Raw genomic sequence first — 21,680 nt, 5'->3', positions numbered from 1 at the left:
CATGTATCCGTGGCCTGAGAGCTGTGACCTCGTTCTCCCAGGACTGGGGCTGGGATGGGGGATTGTAAGCAGTGGCCCCTGGTCAGGGAGACTTCCTGGTGGCCAGGGCGGGATGTGGGGTGCCCCATCCTTTCTGACCCCCACTGAGAGTGGATGTCGTGGGAGGAGCGCTGAGTCAGGAGTGCAGCGTCCCTGTAAGCCTCAGTTTGCCCATCTGTGCGGGGAGGGGCGGGCCTCAGCTGCTTGTTGCTGCGCTGTTTCAGCTGCTGTAGGAGCCTCTGCGGCGGTCCTGGGGAACCCTCAGCCATGGCAAAGCACCAGTGTTCTCCACCTGCTGGCTGGGGGGGTCGGGACCCCACGGGTCCCAGCAGGGCCAGAGCAGGTTCAGAGCCTGGAGCCCCTGCCGTGTGCGCGTGGGCCCTGGGGAGCTTGTGCTGGGCAGGCCTGTGGCATTCCATGGCCTTCACTGTGCCTTTGAGGGTCTCAAGACTCCTGGAACGTGAGCTGGGTGTGGGGCATGGAAGAGAGGGTGGGCTGGGGTGCACGGATGGAGCACAGCCTCTGCAGTCACAGCTCTGCTCCTGGCAGCTCTTTGGCCTCGGGCTAGGGCACTGCCCTTTCTGAGCCTTTGGTGACATAGGCTGCCTGGGGGCCGTGTGAGGATGAGAGGGGCCCACCGGTGTGCCTCGGGCAGTGATGAGGGTGGAGGAGCACGGAGGTGCTCTCTTGCCCTCTGCTGACAGCGAGACCCCCGCTGCCTCCCTCTGTACCCCCTGCTTCTGCCAGCCACTCGGGGCCCCCGTGGAGGGAAAGGGGCTCCCCCAGATGAGGCCATGGGTCACCTGCACACAGCAATGAGTGGGGAACGGGGTCGTGCTTTGCCTGGCCCTGAGGCCTCTCTTGGAGTCAGGCCACTGGGACCGAGTGTGTTGGTGGAAACTCCCTGTGCCCTCCGAGGACTGGGAGGCAGTGGCTGGCAGCAGTGGGACCCTGGAGCCCCCAGGAGACTTCTGCAGGGGGGGGTCTCACCTGGGTGTCGAGGAGTAGGGGTCTCTCGGTGGATGGGCAGGGTGTGCCCTATTGCAGGAACAGCATAGGCAGTGATCTTGGGAGCTTGAAGATGTGTGGTGGGGCAGGTTGGGGCGGGGCCGGGGTCAGGGTCAGGTGAGGCGGAGCGGGTGATGGAGAGAGAGGGGCTCTGTCAGGACCTGGGCCGGCAGGGACCTTCCAGGTGCAGCGAGGTGGCCTCGTTCCTCAGGCACTGGGTGCCTGGGGTGGTTCTGAGCAGAAGCCCCAGGGCCTCTGCTGTGTTAGGAGCATGACGCCGTGGAGGGCGGTCTGGACCGGGTCCCGGAGCTGAGCCTGTGGGTCCCCCTGGGATCTCAGCCCCGTGGGTCCCCCTGGGATCTCAGCCCCGTGCTCACGTCGTAAGGCCTGACCCGCGGCAGTGTGGCCTCTTCACCACCAGGGGGAGGCAGAGAGCCACTTAGTGGAGAGGGGCAGCCGGGAGCCTGGAATAGCTCCGTTTTTCAGACAGGGAAACTGAGGCTGGGAGAGGGCTACGGCTCTCCCACGTCACACAGCAAGCGAGGCGGGGCCAGGGCAGGGGGCTGCGTAGCATTTTTGAGACCAGAACGGGAAGGGAGTGTTGTCCAGCAAGTTAGGGGCGTGGGCACCTGGGGCTCGGTCCTGCTGTGGACTCACACCTGGGGGTGTCCCACCGCAGGGCCAGGAAGCTTCCGCCCCCACCATCAGCCCCCTGCATCTGGGGACCTCAGAAGCAGCCCTGGGGTGCCAGGTGCGCTCCAGGCTGGGCACACAGTTGGTGCTCAGTGATCAGAGCCCCTGCAACAAGTGGTCAGGTCTGCCAGGCACTAAGCCAGCCCTGCGGGATGTCCTTGCTGTCCACCAGGGGCCCAGCACCTGCAGACCCCGGTGACACCATCATGGAGAGACAGGCAGGAACGCAGCCCTGGGGCCATGGGCGTTGGCCAGGCCCTGTGATGCCTGTGCTGCCTGTGCTGCAGGAGGCTGTGAGGATGGGCGTGGGAACCCCTGAGCAGCCACTCGGGCACAGGTGGGGCTGGCTGCGCCGCCGCCCGGCTCCTGCAGAGGCTGCCCCAACCCCAATGTGGAAGAGTTTCAGCCCGGGCCCCACCCACCCTAGATGACCCCTCACAACTTTCAGGGAGGGCAGAGGCACGCAGTTCCCCAGTGGCCTGGCTGGACGTCACCCACACCTGCCAGAGACTCCGGGCCAGCGTCTCGTGCCTGTGCACGTGGCAGGCAGTCCATGCACATCAGAGGCTTTCTCTCTACAGACATGGCTAGGAACAGCCAGTCTTCCTGAATGGATATGGGGGTGGGTGGGGCCGCAGAGAAGGGGAAGAGCTGTTCCCTGACCCACATCCCCGTCGGCCCCTGTATCTGCACTGGCCTCAATACTACAGCCTCAGGTCTGGGGAGCAAGGGCTGGATTGAGGAGTGTTCTGGGCTCAGGGACCGGTGTGGTCCTTCTGGTGAGCTCTGGGGTGGGGAGCTGACACTGGCCCCGTGTGGCTGCGTCAGGAGGGACAAGGAGGGAGGCAAGGCTGGACCAAGCAGAGTCTCCACTGGGATGCTTGGAATTTGGACTTGGACTTGAGTGGCCCCTCCAGGCCGGGCACAGGGGGCCAGCCCAGCCATTACAGGGCACTGGTCTGTGGGAGGGTGGGGGCAGCTGGTGGGGACTTGTGTTCACCCCTTGCGAAGCCAGGGCAGGCTTGGGCTGATTCCCAGGAGTTCTTCCAGCCTCACCTCTGTCACCCTTGCCCCCTCCGCTCCGGCTGCCGGGCCTTGGCCACGGGCGTTTGCATTTGCTGGTCCTGCTCCTGGGGCCCCTGCACTCCACATAGCTGGCATCCTGCTATCTCTGCTTAACTGCCCTTTTCGGAGAAGCTCCTGCCCCTCACCCTGATTTCTTTCTTTCTTTTTAGAGACAGGGTCTCACTCTGTTGCCCAGACTGGGGTGCAGTGGCGTGATCACGGCTCCCTGCAGCCTTGACCTCCTGGGCTCAAGTGATCCTCCCACTTCAGCCTCCCGAGTAGCTGGGACACCCGGCGCACGCCACCACGCCCGGCTAATTTTTAAAGTTTTTTTTTGTGGAGACACGGTTTTGCCATGTTGCCCAGGCTGGTGTTGAACTCCTGGCCTCAAGCAATCCTCCTGCCTTGGCCTCCCAAACTGCTGGGATGACAGGCGTGAGCACACGGCCACCCTGGTTTATTGCCAACACTCGGAACGCACCTATGTTTAGATGCTTGTTTGGGCTTCCTCTCTGTGACGGATCCTCCGGAGGTCCCGGCTCCTCCGTCTTTCTGCCACGCCATCCTCAGCGCCTAGAACAGTGCCTGACACACGGCAGGAGCCTGATGAGGATTTGTTGAATGAATGAATGACACCAGGGCTCAACGCCACTCCAGGACTCAGTCTTCTCACCTGTCAAGGGGGCTAGCACCTGGCCCAGGGTTGCTACCTGGTCCACTGGTCCAGGGAGACAGACCTGCTTGAGCCTGACTGGTTTCGTACTTGTGGGACCCCCGGGGCTGCCCCTGCCCTGCCCGGGGTGGGAGGATTGAATCAGGTCTCGTGGGGTGGGCAGTGGAGCCACTGCCAGCGGGCACACACCAGGCACCTCCTGCCCTACCCAGACTTGGGCTGAGCAGGGGAGGGACAGGGAGGGACTCGGGAAGAGAGCACAACGTCTCTTGGGGGATTTTCCGGGCATCCCACAACGGGGGGCTGCCCTGTTCCCTGGGGCCCAGAGAGGGAGCCTGGCCCTGGCCCCGAGTGATGAGCACAGCCCGGCCGGGCCCAAAGACCGCCCCCCACCCTGATCTGTGTAAGCTGCGGGTCCCGGCCGGGGCCTGGGAATGTCATAGCTGGTCTGCCCCGCAGGGAGCGGGGAATTGACATGCAGAGCAGACCTCAGCCGCTTCCATGGTGGGGCCCCCTCACCCCTGCCGCCCCATCTGCCCTGCCCAGGCCTCCTGCTCCAGCCCCGCCCCGATGCACAGGAACTGGCTTGGCCCTTCCCACAGCACCTCAGCTACCCCCAGACCCGTTTTCAGAGGAGGGTGTTGAGGCCAGAGAGGGGAGGGACCTTCCCAGTCCCTGAGCCTGCCAAGGTGGGCCCAGCTTGGGGTGGGGACAGAGGGGCTGCTCCTGGCTGGGGCAAGAGTTGGAGGGGTCTCCGATGGGGGCATGGCCACGCCCTGTGCCATGAAGCCCCTCACAGAAACTAGGGAGTCGTGGGCAACACCCTGTCCCTGTGACAGGAGGGGAAACTGAGTCACGGAGTGCCCAGGGCCCCATGGCAGGAGTGGGCAGGGCCTGGTTCTTGTGCCTTGGCCTCCATCTGGGAGGAGGCAGGGAGCAGAGCTCAGACTCCTCCCAGTGAGGGCCCCCCATGTGGCTCTGCTGCACGGCCCCAGTTGGGGGGCTCCCTGGGTGGGGGGGCTCTGGGAAGCCCACAGTTACCCCCAGGTAGAAATGTCTGTGGCCTGCACCTCTGCAGCCTGGCCTCCTTCCAACCTCGAGCGGCCGCTGTGAGGGTGTCTGGGAAGGAGGAGCTTTTCCTGTGTCTTCTGGCTTCTTCCTGCCCCTCCACGTCCTTCCAAGGCCTCACGGGGACCCCAGGGACAGCCATGCCTTGCTTCTCTCGGGTGAATCATGGAGAAGGGGCCTCCTCTGGAGCCCAAGACGCAGGGGGGCTGAAGGGGTCTCCTCTGGAGCCTGAGACGCAGGAGGCTGACGGCTGCCATGCAGGCTTGCTCCCCAGCGGCCATTCCCTGCCAGGCCCACCCTCACCTTTGTGGGGCCCGGGAGAGAGTTGAGCCCGAAGCTCCCCCCACTTCTCCTCCCCGGAAGCCCTGTTTAGCTTTGGGAGGGAGGAGCCTCCCACCTCGGGCCTGGGAGCCTCCACGCCAGGGCTGGGAAGGCCTCAGGAGGACTCGAAGGGGGTTTCAGGGTGTGCGCTCAGGGAATTCTGGGGTCCCGGGTGCTGGGGCATCAGGTGGGAGGTGGACATGAGCTCTGGGTGGCCCCCTCGGCCCTGCAGACCCCGCCAGGAGGGGCACAGCCAGATCATACGTCCGGGCCCTGCTCCTGTCTGCGGGCCTCCTGCTGGGTGAACCTCCCTCACCCTGAAGCTGCCCTGGCTCCTACTGGTCTGGAGCTTGGACTCCCAGGGCCCTGCTCCCCGGGGACCCTCCCGGCAGAGGCCTTTGTCTGGCTGGCTGTGATGGGTCCTGACACCCCATCTGTCTGTCTGTCGGTCCACCTAGGTGTTTCCCCCCGGGCCGGCCTGCCGTGACGATCACAGCCCTGCCGTCTCAGGTCACGGTTTTGGATTCTGCGCTAACGAGGTCTCCCAGGTGGGCTGGAAACACTGATGAAGACGGATAGAAAAAACACCAGCCCACCGGATTATTAATAAAGATAATCACACACACCCCTTCGTCGGCAGCCGGCCTGACACTTTATAAAGCACGTTAGGATATAATCCAATTGAAACTGCAATATCGAGAACATCTCATCTTATCACAAATTGAAATTATATCACATTCCTCTTTTCTTAAATTAAAAAGCTAAAACCTTTTCGTTTGCTCTCACACAGTTGTGTAAAACTTAATCAGTGGTTTTAACAACATTATATTTCCATATGGGCCATTTCTAGTCTCGACTTACGGGGGAGAACTTTCCAGAAAAGGGGCGATTGGTTTTGTGAGCAGGAGCAGCAGGCCCGGGGTCAGTGCCTGGCAAGATGGACTTGGCCTCATCTGCACACAGGCGGTGGCTGGGATCAAGGTCCGAGGATATACCAGGGACGGCGGAGGGATTTCAGCAGATGCATGTTCCCATTTTAAGAATTGCCACCTTAAATATTATATATATATATATATAGAGAGAGAGAGAGAGAGAGACAGTCTCGCTCTGTCGCCCAGGCTGGAGTACAGTGGCACAATCGGCTCACTGCAACCTCCGCCTCCCAGGTTCAAGTGATTCTCCTGCCTCAGCCTCCCGAGTAGCTGGGATTAGAGGTATGCGCCACCACACCTGGCTAATTTTTGTATTTTTAGTAGAGACAAGACTTTCACCATGTTGGCCAGGCTGGTCTTGAACTCCTGACCTCAGGTGATCCGCCCGCCTTGGCCTCCCAAAATGTTGGGATGACAGGTGTGAGCCACTGCGCCCGGCCACCTTAAATATTTAAGAGGGAGAAGGATGCAGTCACACAAGTCACAGCAAATTGAAAGCCGAGGAGAGCAGAAGAGGCAGGCCCGGGGACACAGTCCCAGAAAGCCACCCTTGGGGCCAGCGGGACGGAGGCTGGGTCTAACACTAAGTGGCCTGGAGGCCCAGAGGACAGGGACTCGGCCTGCAGGGGCGGGCGTGGAAGCAAAGACTTTCTGCTTCAGTTTTGCACTTCAACAAGGCCCTTTCCCTGGTAGCCGAGAGCAGCTGTTGGGGGTTTCGCGGTCTCTAAGATGAAAAGAAGCCATCAGGCTAGCAATTATAAAAATGTATTTATTTATTTATTTTTGGGACAGGGTCTTGCTCTGTTGCCCAGGCTGGAGTCCAGTGGTGTGATCATAGCTCACTGCAGCCTTGACCTGCTGGACACAAGCGATCCTCCCACCTCAGCCTCCGAAGTGGCTGGGACTCTAGGCGTGCATCACCACGCCTGGCTAATTTTTTAACTTCTTGTAGAGATGGGGTCTCACTCTGTTGCCCGGGCTGGTCTTGACCTGCTGGACACAAGCGATCTTCCTGCTTCAGCCTCCCAAATTCTGGGATTACAGGCATTTTTTTGTAGAACTGGGGTCTTGCTATGTTGCCCAGGCTGATCTCAAACTCCTGGGCTCAAGTGATCCTCCTGCCTCAGCCTCCCAGGTAGCTGAGGCTGCAAGCATGAGTCACCGTGCCTGGCTCTCGCTTCGTTCTTTTTACTTTTTTTAAACGCAGCTACTAGAAAATTGAAAATGGCAGGTGTGGCCCATTCATTGTGGCTCGGGTTCCATTTCTGTGGACGGGGGTGTTCTGGCACATTGCAGGGTCTCCTGAGATCCTGCTCACCATTTTTGGGGTGTCCACCATCATGGTAGCCCCTCCCTCGTCCACATCCTGTCCGTTTTCTCCCACACGATTTCCTGGGTCTGAGCGTTCCCCTCCACCAGCCCCTGACTCCAGGACTCTCCGTGTCTCCCCACCCTCCCCAAGTGAGCTCAGTGTTTTGGTGGCCCCTGCAGAAGCCCTCTGGGGTTTCCTGTTACACTCTAGGCTAAGTCCAGCTTCACAGCAGGACCCTGTCCCCCCAGGACCCCATCAACCCAGGCCCACACACACCCCCATGGGATGAAACTAGTGGGTGCTAGTCACGGGGAGATTCTGTCCCGTGGACGCCGCCCACGGCCACATCATTGAAGGTCCAGGTGGGCAGCCTCGGCCGCTGTCAGCGCTCTCCCGGAAATGTTTGTTCATCCTTTCGTCCTTCATTCCATCCTTTTTGTTCCTGAGATGGAGTCTCGCTCTGTCACCCAGGCTGGAGTGCAATGGCACGATCTTGGTTCACTGCAGCCTTCGCCTCCCGAGTTCAAGCGATTCTCCTGCCTCAGCCTCCGGAGTAGCTGGGATTACAGGCGTGCACCACCATGCCCAACTAATTTTTGTATTTTTAGTAGAGATGGGGTTTTGCCATGTTGGTCAGGCTGGTCTCGAACTCCTGACCTCAGGTGATCCACTGGCCTCAGCTTCCCTAAGTGCTGGCATTACAGGTGTGAGCCACCACATCCGGACCCTTTGTTCCGTTCTTTTAATTGAGCATCTCCTCCATGCCAGGCCACCCGCTGGTACCACAGCCCCACACCAGCAAGAGACCCACCAGCTCCTGTCCTCGAGGACCTGGTGGAGGCATAAAGAGAATGGCAGTCCTGGGGGCCGGGGCTCTGCAGGGACGTGGGGCCCTGGGGAGGGTGCTGAGGGGAGGGAGAGGCAGCCTGGTGGGAGGGCTGCGGCTGAGCCAGGCAGGGGCCCTGAGGCCAGGGAGAGTTGCAAGTTCTGGCCAGGCATGGACTCCGTCCGAGTGGAAAGGCTGGGAGAGGTCAGAGGGGCAGGATGGTGGGGTGGGGCCCGGAGGGCGTTAGGTGGAGAGACATGGGACCAGGGTGGTCTTCGACGCCAGCTCTGGCTGTGGGTGTGAGGTCCAGGGGGCAGAAACCAAGGACATATAACCCCCTCGCTGACATCCAGGGCCCACCAGGTGTGGCCTGCTCTATCCTCATTGGCCAGAATATAGTCACATGGCCAGGGCAGGCTGCAAGGGATGCTGGGGAATGTAGTTCCCTCTGGGGCTTGCTGTGGCCGCTAAAAGGGGAGGTGGGGAATGGATATTGGGGATGCATGAGTGATGTCTGGCTGCAGTGACAAAGTACCGAAAATGGGGGGCTTCAAGGAACAGTTAGACTTCTAGAGGCCAGAGTCTGAGATCAAGATGTGGGCAGGAGGCCAGGTGCGGAAGCTCATGCCTGCCATTCCAGCACTCTGGGAGGCCAAGGTAGGAGGATCGCTTGAGCCCAGGAGTTTGAGATGAGTCTGGGCAACATAGTGAGACCCCATTTCTACAAAAATTTTTAAAAATTAGGCCAAGTGTGGTGGCTCACGCCTGTAATCTCAGCACTTTGGGAGGCCGAGGCAGGTGGATCACCTGAGGTCGAGAGTTTGCGACCAACATGGAGAAACCCTGTCTCAACTACCAATACAAAAATTAGCGAAGCATGCTGGCACACACCTGTAATCCCAGCTATTTGGAGACCGAGCTGGGAAAATCGCTTGAACCCGGGAGGCGGAAATGGCAGTGAGCCGAGATCAGGCCACTGCACTCCAGCCTGGGTGACAGAACAAGACTCTGTGTCAAAAAAAAAAAAAAATAAAATAAATAAAATAAAATAAAATTAGCCAGGCATGGTGGCATGCACTTGTAGTCTCAGCTACTCAGGAAGCTGAGGGGGGAGGATTGCTAGAGCCTGGGAGTTTGAGGCTGCAGTCAGTCACGATCGTGCCACTGCACTCCAGCCTGGGCGACACAGTGAGACTCCATCTCAAAAAAAAAGAGAGAGGGTTGAGTTTAGGTTGAAGGTAGCCAATCTGAAAGCTCAAGGCAGGAATTAGGGATTTGCTAAGGGAACCCTTCTTTCTGAAGTCAGAATCTACTGATTAAGGGTTCCATGAGGCAGTGCTTTGCTGTGGTGAGAAAGGCAGTTGTTGTGGTCCAAGCTACAGCTGGTACCAGCAGAGGAAAGAAAATCAAGGGTTCAGCAGAAGAAAGTCTTGGGATTCTAAGTCCGCTGGAAACCTCCCATTAAGAACATAGTATGATTATGTGGCAGACACAGCCCCCAACTTTGCTGGATGCCATCTGGTATTTGGGGTGCTGTGGTGGTACACAGGACTCACGGTGCCACAGCAGCCAGTTTGGGACCATGAGGGATGGTAAGGCCGCCAAGCAGAGACGAGCTGGGCAGAAACAGGGAAGGCTGCTGGGTCTTTGCTGACCTCCTGTTGGTGTCACTGAGCCCTGAATTAGCCAGTCTAGAACCTTCTTATGTGTAGATTTCTTGTTGGGAAGGATAATGAATCCAGGGTCGTGTAAGCCTCTTTGACTTGAATTTCCTGAGAGCCAAGTCAACACCCTATTGGTTTCCATTGATGTCACGCCGACGGGATGTCCTTCAATTCCCCACACCGTCTGCGCTGGGGCCTGGGGGTTGTCCAGCCCCGTCCACTCTCTTGAAGTCAGTGGGGATGCTGAGGCCCAGGAAGCAGAGTTGCCATCCCATCCCCGACCAGGGCAGAGCCACTGGGCCAGCCTCCTGCGCCATGGCCCTCCCCAGGCCTGCACTGGGTCTGGGGCCACCTCCCTGTTGTGGGACCTTTGCAAGACCCCGTTTTCCATGGAAGTGAGGACAACAGTGACAATGACACGCCTCCCCAGGCGTAGCCCCTTCTTCTGACCTTGAGTCAACCAGTCCCCAGGAGGGTGGGCGGGATGGGGCTGGGGAAGGTGAGCTTGACAGCTTCTCCACGTGCTGCTCCTGCCGCCTCTTCCCCCTCACTCCCAGCTCAGTCTGTCTCTCCCTCCCTCTCTGTCTCTGTCTCTCCCTCCCTCTGTCTGTCTCCCTCTCTCCCTCCCTCTCTGTCTCTCCCTCCATCTGTCTCCCTCTCTCCCTCCCTCTCTCTGTCTCCCTCTCTCCCTCCCTCTCTGTCTTTCCCTCCCTTTCTGTCTCTGCCTCTGTCTCTGTCTCTCCCTCCCTCTCTGTCTCTGTCTCTCCCTCCCCTTCTGTCTCTGACTCTGTCTCTGTCTCTCCGTCCCTCTCTCTGTCTCTCCCTCTGTGTCTCTGTCTCTGTCTCTCCCTCTCTGTCTCTCTCTCCCTCCATCTCTCCGTCCCTCTGTCGCTCCCTCCCTGTCTCTCCCTCCATCTCTCTGTCTCTGTCTCTCCCTGTCTGTCTCTCCCTCTCCCCCTCTCTCTGTCTCTCTCTCCCTCTCCCTCTCTCCCTCTCTGTCTCTCTCTCCCTCTCTCTCAGTCTGTTTCTCTCTCTCCCCCCTCTCTCTTCCTCTCCCCACTCCCCCTTTTCTCTCCCTCTCTGTTACTCCCACAGTTTCCCTGTCATTCTCTGCAATGTGGGCTCATCCATTCTGCTTCCAGCAGGCTCAGAAAGTTCTGCTTCTTATCTGACCACTGCAGAAGGCTGAGATGCCGCCAGGTGCCACTTCGTGTCTTAGGGTTGGATGCAGGGGCTGGGGGTGCCCCCTTCTCCTTGGCTTAGGCTGACCTGGGTGTGCCTCCGGCCAGAGCTCTCAGCCGGGCTCAGAAGGCCCCAGGGACCGTGGGAAGCTGTCGTTGCTTGGAGCGGGTGAGGCCAGACCAGAGCAGCCAGCAGCGCTTGGCGAGGCTCCAGGCAGCAGCCAGGTAGCCAGCTGCGCTCCTCCCTCCCCTGGAAGTGGGGGGCCCCTGGGGGACCCCTGTGTCACATGACCCATCAGCTGACAAAACAGGATGACTCAGCCAGCAGCTGTCGGCCCCCTGAAATAATGACAAAAACAATTAGCAATCCAAGCAGTAGCCTTTCCTTAATTATCTCCTCCGAGTTTAATTAACTAGCTAAATTATCAGCAGTAATGTAGGCATTAATTATGTCAAATTACAGTGTAAAACTCACAAAGTGTGGAAAATGTCAATTCAGCTTGGCTCACCTGCCAAGCGGGGGTGGCGAGGGCGTGCATGTACCTGTGCGAGTACCTGTTTGTGCCTCGGGGCCGGCGGGGCCATCAGGGCTGGGGCAGGGGGCAGGGGGCAGGGGGCAGCGTCTGCAGGGCTGGACGGAGGGAAGACACCGGGGACAGGGCGGGTGGGGCCCTGGGGACACCGGCGGGGGTGATGGGGAAGCTTTGGCTCAGACTGAGGGAGGGAAGGGAGCCTGTTCCCGGACCAGATGGCCAAGATGCTGAATTATTAAATTATGAATATTAATACAAATCAGACACAAAAGAGGTAATAATTTTGCTGCCCTACAGAAATAATTAACATAATTTTGATAAATTACATGATAAGAGAATCTCAAAATTGAGGTAGATTTATCTTAATTAATATCTTGGACCAGCTCCGAAAGGTAAATTGTTCCTTGGGGGGTTGGGGCAGAGTGAGGCTGGGGTGGGATTCGGCCCCTGGCCAGGGCCCTGGTCTCTTTCTGTCACAGAGGCTGGGGTGGGGGGACAGGGTGGGAAGATTGAGGACCCAGTCTGACTCAGTTGCACTGGAGCACCTTAGGCGAGGGGCGGCCCTCTCTGAGCCTCAGTTTCCCTTTCTGGGAGCCTGGGTGGCCGGCCCAGCTGGCCTCACGGGGCCTTCAGCGGGGACTGGCTGGGAGCTGTGGCTTTGGCCAAGCTTTTGCCACCCAAATGCTCTGGCCGAGCCCGGGGACACCTGCCCTCCAACTGAGCCACACACCTGCCTATTTACCTGTGCACACCTGGCCAGGGAGACTGAGGACCCAAGAGCTCGTCCCAGCAGCTTGTCCCATTTCTGAAGGGTCTGGGCCAGGCCTCATCCTCTTCAAGCCTCAGTCTCCCTTTGGTACAATGGGAGTTGGGCTGCACAGATGCTGAAGACTGTTGGCCACCCCCTCAGGTCTCACTCCGTGCCACTGCCATCCCTCTGCGGGGCCAGCCAGTCTTGTGGTATGGGGGGCAGTTAGCAAACCTCCAAAGATGGGGAACCAGCCTTGTGCAGGGGCACCAGGGCACCCAGGACCCCGCCGGTCCTCAGACTCTAGCAGCCTGGCCTCCCATGTCCTGGGACCACAGACAGCCCCTCAGGTGCTTGTCACCCAGAGGCCAGGGCTGTGTCAGGGCATGGGGCACCTGTGTGGCTTTAAGGCCTGCCATCTGCCCCCTGGCCCTCGGGACACCCTGCCGTTTGCTTACTCTGGCAGCACTGGCCTCTGCAGGTTTCGGACAACCCGGGCACACTGCCTGATGGCCCTGCTGTCCACAACATTCTGTCCTGGAGTGGTCGCCCCGACCTCCCCAAGTCTTCAGTGGGTCTCCCTGACCACCCCCGACGAGGGCAGGGACTTGATCTGTCCACTCGCCGCTGTATACCCGGGGCCTGGCACATAGCAGGTGCTCAGCAAAGTGTCACTGAATTGATTTGTTGATGAACACAACGTCTTTCGTGCGAGGTATACATCACATCTGATGTGTCAGACACCGTGCACGGCACCCACTAAACATCCGGCCACATCCGCGTTCCAGGTCCCGTCCCAGGAGCCGGCCGCATCCCCGTGGTGAGCGCTGCACGCCTCTGCACCCTGCCTTCCGAGGCACAGAGCCGCCTTCTGCACAGTCCGCACTCTGTGTCACATGCGGGAAATGACACGCTCCACCATCCGTGAGCCACGGAGCCCGGAGACTGTCCCCCGCGTTGAGTAGGGTGTGGCCCCCTCAATTCCTGGCACGGGACGCCCATGGGATGCGTGTTACGTATCAGTCACATCACACACATGTGCATACTAAGCCAAGGAGGCTAGGCTCAGGGCCTGGGTTACCCCCAACCCTGGAGTGTGTGCACACTCATGATTATACGTGGGTGTTCATGCAAGCACGTGTGTTCATGAACGGGTTTTTGGTTTTTTTTTTTTTTTTTTATGGAGTCCGGCTCTGTCGCCCAGGCCTGGAGTGCAGTGATGCGATCTCAGCTCACTGCAACCTCTACCCGCTGGGTTCAACCAATTCTCCTGCCTCAGCCTCCTGAGTAGCTGGGAATACAGGCACACGCCACCACGCCCAGCTAAGTTTTGTATTTTTGGTAGAGATGGGGTTTCACCATGTTGGTCAGGCTGGTCTCAAACTCCTGACCTCAAGTGACCACTCACCTCAGCCTCCCAAAGTGCTGGGATTACAGGCGTGAGCCACCGCACCCGGCTCATGGAGGTTTTTCCTGAGTGCAAATGTATGTGCCTGTTCTTACAAGAGAAATAGATGGGGCCGGGCGTGGCCTGTAATCCCAGCACTTTGGGAGGCCAAGGCAGGCAGATCACGAGGTCAGGAGATCAAGACCATCCTGGCTAACACGGTGAAACCTCACATCTACTAAAAATACAAAAAATTAGCTAGGCGTGGTGGCGGGCGCCTGTAGTCCCAGCTACTCGGGAGGCTGAGGCAGAATGGCGTGAACCCGGGAGGCAGAGCTTGCAGTGAGCCGAGATCGCACCACTGCACTCCAGCCTGGGCGACAGAGCGAGACTCTGTCTCCAAAAAAAAAAGAGAGAGAGAAATAGATGGGGAGAGGCACTGAGTCACCGAGTCATCCTTTCTGCCCCCTGGCCCTCTGTTTCCTCGCCTGTGTTGGAGCGAGTTCTGACTACAGGTGCCGCCGGGAGGAGCCTGGATCATGCTCTGTAAAGCAAGGTGGTAGCAATGTCCCCAGACCATGAACTCCCAGAACAGCAGCCAGGCCCAGCTAAGGGAACTTCCTCCAGACCAGGACTGGGACACAGGAGCCTCCACTGTTTGGAGGAGGAAACCGGGGCTCCGAGGAGTTCAGGGACCCTCCAGGGTTGCACGGAGCAGGCAGGTGGAGGGAGCTGGTGGCAGCCAGGTTGGGCTGGGCAGGAAGCAGCCACCAGGGGAGCCACCTGGCCATACTGGTGGGTTTCCTGCAGCCTGGCCAGCTCTGGACTCTGCCGCTCCAACAGGCCTGGAGGAGCTGAGGCGGCGACCTGGCCCTGCCAGCAGAGGAGGTGGGTGCATTCAGGGATGAGGGGCACATGGTGGGCATGCTGGTCAGCCTTGCCAGACCCTTACCCCTGCCCTAGCCGGAATCAGAGGCCTCCCCCAACACCTGCCCCCCCCACCTGGACATGGCTTCTTCCAAGAACAGGGTGCTTACTACCTGCCAGGGCTGCTCCGAGCAGGTATAGCAATGGAGACCATGGCCTGCTTACCTCCCAGCAGAGGGGAACAGGCAATGCACAGACGCACACATGTACAGAGCGTGTGGCCTCAGGTCCCGTGAAAGGCCCATGGCAGGTGGAGAAGAGCAGAGGCCGGGCAGTGCTGTGCTGTCAGGGCAAGGCAGGGCACACCCCGTAGGGTACGAACCTGCAGGTGCAAAGGCCCGGGCAGGTGGAAGTGGTGCAGAGACAGCGAGGAGGAGGAGGGCGAGGAGGAGGAGGAGACGGGGTTATGGGAGCTGGAGGGGTAACAGGGCCCGGAACACTGAGTGCCTTGAGACTGTGTTTCAGCCAGGCTGGGCGTACAGGCAGGATTCTTGGTCCGAGACAGTTTACAGGCGAGAAGCCAGGGCTGGGAGCAGTGTGGAAGAACGCTAGCACTTCAATGGACTGGGCAGATGCGTTTGCCCTCTGCCTCAGTTTCCCCATCTGTGAAATGGGAGAACGAAGCTCACCTCACAGGCAGCCCTGAGCCCTGACCTGGGTGGGTGGGGCGGGCTTTGTGAACCACTAGGCTCACGTTCAGTGAGGCACACAGTGGTGACCCCTCTGGGGGTGCTGGCTGCGACCCACAGGGCTCCCAGCACTAGACTCACAGAAGCTGCAAAAGGGGAAGGCCCCGGGCTCTGGATGACATCAGAGGCAGGTGGAACGCAGGGTGCCAGAACTTAGGAATTGGCCAGGCTGTGTGTGACGTCAGTAGGGTGGAGCACAGAGTGCTGGGGCTTAGGCATTGGCAGGTTTTTGTGTGACATCAGATGGGGGTGGAGCAGAGTGCAGGGGCCCTAGGAATTAGCCAGGTTTTGTGTGCCGTCACTGGGGGGTGGGGGGGGGGGGTGGAGCACAGGGTGCCAGTCCTTAGGGATTGGCCAGATTTTTGTGTGACGTCAGATCGGGGTGGAGCACAGGGTGCCAGGCCCTAGGGATTGGCCAGGTTTTTGTGTGACGTCAGTTGTGGGTGGAGCGTAGAATGCGGGGCCCTAGGGGTCGATCAGGTTTTATAGTGAAGTCAGATGAGGGTGGAGCGCAGTGTGGGGGCCCTAGGGATTGGCCAGGTTTTTGTGTGACGTCAGATGGTGGTGGAGGGCAGACTGTGGGAGCCCTAGGGATAGGCCAGGCTCTGTGTGACATCAGAGCGGGAATGGAGGGCCAGGTGGTTCTTGTTCTGTCTGCAGGGTGAGAATATTGGACGTGATTCTAAAGACTAAGCCTTTGGAGAGTATCAGGCAGGGGTGACGTTCCATCTGGGTTTGTTCTTTCTTACATGTTTAATTAGGTAGCATTTCAAATGCAGAAAAGCACAGGAAACAGTTATTCTGTTGGGTAAACAGCCATTTACCCATCACCAGGACTAAGCAGATGCGAACACTGTGCCCTGTTTGGACCAGATCTCTTACCCGAGCTCCCTTTTTTCTTTTTTCTTTTTGTTGAGACGGAGTCTTGCTCTGTCACCCAGGCTGGAGTGCAGTGGCGCGATCTCAGCTCACTGCAACCTCCGCCTACTGGGTTCAACCAATTCTCCTGCCTCAGCCTCCCAAGTAGCTGGCACTACAGGTGCCCACCACCACGGCTGGCTAATTTTTGTATTTTTAGTAGAGACGAGGTTTCGCCGCGTTGACCAGGCTGGTCTCGAACTCCTGACCTCAGATGATCTGTCTCGGCCTCCCAAAGTGCTGGGATTACAGGCGTGAGCCACCGTGCCTGGTCCAAACTCCCTTTTTAAAAGAACCTTTTTATTTTAAAATATTTAGATGTACAGAAAAGTTGCAAAGACAGCGCAGAGAATTCCTGTACACCAGTACGGTCTCCCCTAATGCTAACATCTTACATTACTTTGGTGCGTTTGTCACAGCTAAGAAACCCACATCAGCACATGACTCATCGTGAAACCCCACACTCTCCCCCGATTTCCTGTGCCTCCTATTACCCGTTTTCTGCTCCAGCTCCACCTCCAGGAGCCCACGCGACACAGCATGCTCAAATCTCCTGGGGCTCCTCTGTTCTGTGACTTTGACAGTTTTGAGGAGTGTTGCTCAGGTATTTTGCAGAATGTCCCTGGACTTGGATTTGTTGAGGCTTTTCTCGTGGTCTGATTGAGGTTCTGGGCTTGGGGAGGGAGACCACAGAAGTGACGTGCCCTTCCTAGTGCATCATCGGATCTGGGTTCTGGGGAGGCGGGAGAAGGGGCAACAGGAAGGGGCAGAAAGGGGATGGGAGAGTGGGCGCCTTAGGGTGGTGGGGTGGACAAGACTTGGGTGTGGGAGAGGCTTGAGGGAGGAGTTGGGGTGGTGGCCAGGTGGGTGCTGGTCAAGGACGTCGGGTCTGGAACTTACGGCTTTGAGACTGGAGCGGTTGGGGAGGATGTCTTGTTTCTGGTCTAGGTACTTGGGTGGGGGTGGGCTGCTGGCAGAGCCAGGGGCCAGGAGAAGGGCCTGTGGTGGAAGCTGGCTCTGCTCCCCTGACATCCTGCCCCCCACTCGTTTGTCCGACATGAAGGCTCAGGGCCACCCCTCCATACTCAGTGAGGAGGAAAACCTGAGGGTCTGGCATCCTCGTAATTAATTCATCAGGCGCCATGCTGGGATGTCTGAAGATGTGCGAGTGTTTAATTACAAACTTCTACATAACCATGCGCTTTAATTACCTGGGGCTGGGGAACCCTCCCACCTCGTGTCCAGCTCCAGTTGTCAGAGGGGTCTGGAGAGCCAGGTGGGGCAGCTGGTTCCCCAAGGCCACTGAGGCTGGAAATGAGGGCTGGGGAGGAGGGACAGATCCGGAGGTGGGAGCCCTGGATGGGACTGCAAGAAGTGCAGGTGAGGGTGCCCCTGACACCCCTTCTGTGTATGGCACTTAAGCCTGGGCTGTCTGAGGCCAGGGTCTCAGCTGGGGTCTCTGAGGGTCTGTGTGGCACTGGTGTGCCTTGTGCCACCTAGGGTCAGGCAGGGACCTCCATGAGGACAGGGTCCTGGGCTCCACCGAGAGCTCACTGTGTGGCCCTGCACCAGTTACCTCCTGCCTCCTGCACAGTTTCCTCATCGATGAATGGGGCTCATTGCAGCCGGCAAGCAACCCCTCTCCACTACTAAACAATGGGGGGTTACTCATAGTGCCCTCAGCCTCTCTTGGTTTCTGTTTTCTACTCATCCATCAATCCATTACTCACCCATCCATCCATCCTCCATCCATCCATCCATGCCTTCTCCCGCACATTTATCCACCCACCCATCCATCCATGTAACCATCTATCCATCCATCCACCTATCCCTATCTATTCATCCAGCCACTCGCTCACCTACCCATCCACCCATCCATCCATCCATCCATCCACCCACCCACCCATTCACCCATCCACCCACCCATCCATCCACTCACCCACCCATCCATCCACCCACCCATCCATCCACCCACCCATCCACCTATCCATCCACCCATCCATCCATTCCCATCTATTCATCCAGCCACCCACCCACCTACCCATCCATCCACCCATCCATCCATTCCCATCTATTCATCCATCCACCCACCCATCCACCCATCCATCCATTCCCATCTATTCATCCAGCCACCCACCCACCTACCCATCTACCCCACCCATCCATCCATCCACCCACTCATCCACCCCTCCACCCACCCATCTATCCCCATTCATCCACTCATCCATCCATCCACCCACTCGTCCATCCACCCATCCACCCACCCACTCACCCATCTATTCCTCCCTATCCATCCATCCAACCATCCACTCATCCACTCATCCACCCACCCATCCATCCATCCCCATCCATCTATCCATCCATCCATTCATCCACCCACCCACCTATCCACCCACCCATCAACCCACCCATTTATCCATGCATCCATTCATCCATCCACTCATCCACCCACTCATCCATCCCCATCCATACATCCATACATCCATCCATCCACCCATCCATCCATCCACCCATCCATCCATCCATCCACCCAGTCATCCATCCATCCATCCATCCATCTATTCACCCACCCATCCACCCACTCATCCATCCATCCATCTGTCCACCCACCCATCCACCCACTCATCCATCCATCTATCCATCCACCCACCCATCCACCCACTCATCCATCCATCCACCCGCCCACCTATCCACCCACCCACCTACCCACCCACCCATCCATCCATCCATTCATCCATCCACTCATCCATCCATCTCCATCCATTCATCCATCCACCTATCCACCTAACCATCCATCCATCCATCCATCCCTCCATCCATCCCTCCCTCCCTCCATTCACCCACCCACTCATCCATCCACCTATCCTCCTAACCATCCATCCATCCATCCATCCATCCCTCCCTCCCTCACTCCCTCCCTCCCTCCCTCCATTCACCCACCCACTCATCCATCCATTCATCCATCCATCCCCATCCAGCAATTGCAGTGGATGTTCACAGGGTTATCCTGGCTGCCCAGCATTTGAACACACACAAGCAGGTACCTGACTTAGCTCAGCCTAGCAGCACACCTGACCAAGACCAAGTGGGTGGACAGATGTCAGCCTGGATACCCCTGTGTGTGTTTGGTGTGTGTGTGAGGGGCGGGGTCAGGCATATGGTGATAGCCCAAAGGGACATCATGGTCAGTGCTGAGCCTTGTGGTCTCAGGCCTTCTCACCCTGGGGAGAGTTGAGGATTGAGCTGTGGTAAGGGTCTGACACCCCCAGCACCCACACCCAAGGATGGAGAACAGAAGTTTCTAACTCTGCTTCTGTTGTTATCTGTGGCCCCGAGGGGCGTGTGCATGCGTCAGTGTGGGGGTGTGACTGTTTGTGCTTTGTGCCCTGTGGTAGTGAGTGAGGGTGGCCGCTCCTGCCCACGGCATGTCCAGCCTGCTGTGGTCTTCAGGGACAGGCCCACTTCAGGCTCCCCTCTCAGAGCCTCAGTTTCCCCAGCTTTGCAACGGGACCATGGAAGGCAACCTGACCTGGGCCTCAGGCTGGTTGTGGGGATGGAATGAAGTAGTAACGTGGCATCCCCCGTATCACCAGCACATGAGGGCCCCTGAGACTCTGCTGTGTGCAGGCCGGGCTGCAGATCTGCCTTCCTATGCTCCACACCTGGGCCCATTTTCCAGATGAGGCTAACAAGGCTCAGAGAGGGGAAGCGACTTTCCCAAGGCCACACAGCCAGCTGGGGGCACAGCCAGGTGTGCGTAGAGCTGTGTGTGACTGTGTCCTGGGGGAGGGACAGGAGACTCAGGACAGCAGGCCTGGTTGGGGGGCAGGCGGGGAGGAGGCTGGGCAGAGGTAGGGACGCACTTGCCCAAGGTCATGCTTGTTAGGGACGTGGCCAAGCCAGGCTGCTTTTCTCCACCCCGCCCCAGGGCCCCCGGCAAGGCCTCCCCACCCAGCAGGTGCAGCCTGAGTTCAGGGCCTGCCACTGTGCTTGGCAGAGGCTCTGGACAGCAGTGGATTCTGCCCGGCTGGTCCGGGGGCTCCTGCTGTGTTGACACCCGGGCCAACGCCATCTGTCCCTGGCAGCCCGGTACTCTCCACCCAAGATGCCTCCCCTTTAGAGTGAGATGCTGGGGGAGGTGGCGGGGGGGGGGGGGGGCGTGGGGCGTGGCTGGAGATGCGGCTGCCGTAGACAGAGGCACTGGATTCCCACCAAAGACAGCCACAGGCACCAGGAAGGACCCCACGCGGGGCTGGACCACCCTGAGCCCCCAGTCCCTGCACTGGCTCAGACCTTCAGGGATTCCTGGAATCCTGCACTGTCTGGGGTTTGGGGAAGAACTGAGAAAAGTGATGTTTTATCTCCCACCCCGCCCCAACCCATTGTACAGATGGGGAAACTGAGGCCCACGGGGAGTCAAGCACCTGCTGAAGGCTGCTCAGTGAGTTTTCACTGCAGCCCAGGGCCCCGGCCTCCCAGCCTGCCCTGGAGGTGGCTGCCCACTCCAGTCCGGTCTCCTAACTCATTTTGCCCCCAAATCCTGAGAATCCTCTCCCTGAACTCCACCTTTCTGGCCATGTAAGATACTGGTGACAGCTCAGAATGCCTGTCTCCATCACTTCCCAGATACCTATTGCAAGGGGTGGGAGGTTGGATGGGTTTATTCTCGTAAATAACTATTAATTAACAAATAAAGATGAATTTACTAGGAGTTGGGGGCAGTCGTTGATTGCAGAGACTCAGCAACTAGGATGCTGGGCTCAAAGCCGGCCTACGACTTTCTCCTGCGTGACTCTGGGCAGGTGACTTGACTTCTCTGTCTTGGTTTCCTCATCGGTAAATGGGAAGAGTTAGTGACGCAGCAGATGCTCTTATTACACTCCTGGTGTGCGTTTAAGGCTCATAGTTGTCCTCGCTTTGCAGCCAGGAGACCCAAAGCGGAGATCCCCCACTGCCCGCCCCTCCAAGACCCTGCGAAGTCCAGGTCCGGGTACCAGCGTCCTCGGTCACGCCTACAAGGGGCGTGGCCTGGAATCGGGCGGAGTCTGAAGAGGCGGGGCACCAAGATAGTCTTTAGGGGCGGGGCCTCCGGCTGTGGGCGGGGCCTCGTGGCCCGGCGCCCTCCCCGCCCGCGTCCAGCTGAGACCGCGTAGCCGGCAGGTGGCGCTGCGGCGTTTCCTAAGAAAGCGGCGGGCGAGGCCCCGCTGGGCGCTGGGCCAGGTGCTCCCACTTGCACGCCAGACGCGGGGTGCGCACCGGTTACAGGTGCGCCCGACTGCACGCACACCAGCTGCATGCGTGTGCATCCATTACGCACGTGCACCCGCGCGCGCAGGCCTGTGCGGCCCACGGTCACCCTGGCTCCCTGACCCAGACCCATTCCATCCTGAATCCCTGGTTCAGGCTGTCTCCAGGCCTTTGCTGCGCCCTTCTCCAACCCTGCAGCCCCGGGTCTGGAGCCTTCCCGCACCTGGCCCATAGCCCACTTGGCCGCTGGCTTGCTTTCTTCAGAGCACTCCAAGTCTGAGGGACTCCCGGGCGGGAGTTGCAGGTCCCCCCAGCCTGGAGGGAGCACTTCTACCTGGCAGCATTGCAGCGCTGGCCCAGATGCCCGCTGTCAGCCAGGCAGGCCCGAGGCAGGGACAGCATCTGTAGTCAGGCAAGGCCTTGAGCTGGGAGGGCACCAGGCAATGCCG

General features: G+C 58.9%; 5 annotated features.

The window, feature by feature from the left end:
• Positions 5,019 to 5,574: an enhancer, noted in NCBI's record as "H3K4me1 hESC enhancer chr7:1468179-1468734 (GRCh37/hg19 assembly coordinates)". NCBI's record gives its function as "activates a minimal SCP1, AML or CMV promoter by ChIP-STARR-seq in naive H9 embryonic stem cells {active_cell/tissue: H9 hESC(naive)}" and the evidence as "EXISTENCE:reporter gene assay evidence [ECO:0000049][PMID:30033119]".
• Positions 10,710 to 11,004: a silencer, noted in NCBI's record as "tiled region #11952; K562 Repressive DNase matched - State 4:PromP". NCBI's record gives its function as "represses a minimal TATA promoter and a strong SV40 promoter by Sharpr-MPRA in K562 cells {active_cell/tissue: K562}" and the evidence as "EXISTENCE:reporter gene assay evidence [ECO:0000049][PMID:27701403]".
• Positions 13,876 to 14,546: an enhancer, noted in NCBI's record as "H3K27ac-H3K4me1 hESC enhancer chr7:1459207-1459877 (GRCh37/hg19 assembly coordinates)". NCBI's record gives its function as "activates a minimal SCP1, AML or CMV promoter by ChIP-STARR-seq in primed H9 embryonic stem cells {active_cell/tissue: H9 hESC(primed)}" and the evidence as "EXISTENCE:reporter gene assay evidence [ECO:0000049][PMID:30033119]".
• Positions 14,547 to 15,219: an enhancer, noted in NCBI's record as "H3K27ac-H3K4me1 hESC enhancer chr7:1458534-1459206 (GRCh37/hg19 assembly coordinates)". NCBI's record gives its function as "activates a minimal SCP1, AML or CMV promoter by ChIP-STARR-seq in primed H9 embryonic stem cells {active_cell/tissue: H9 hESC(primed)}" and the evidence as "EXISTENCE:reporter gene assay evidence [ECO:0000049][PMID:30033119]".
• Positions 20,951 to 21,250: a silencer, noted in NCBI's record as "silent region_17851". NCBI's record gives its function as "represses an Ori minimal core promoter by ATAC-STARR-seq in GM12878 lymphoblastoid cells {active_cell/tissue: GM12878}" and the evidence as "EXISTENCE:reporter gene assay evidence [ECO:0000049][PMID:35858748]".

This window comes from Homo sapiens, chromosome 7 (assembly GCF_000001405.40).
Source record: "Homo sapiens chromosome 7, GRCh38.p14 Primary Assembly".
Classification (NCBI taxonomy): Eukaryota; Metazoa; Chordata; class Mammalia; order Primates; family Hominidae; genus Homo; species Homo sapiens.
This window is presented reverse-complemented; position numbering and strand designations above follow the sequence as displayed.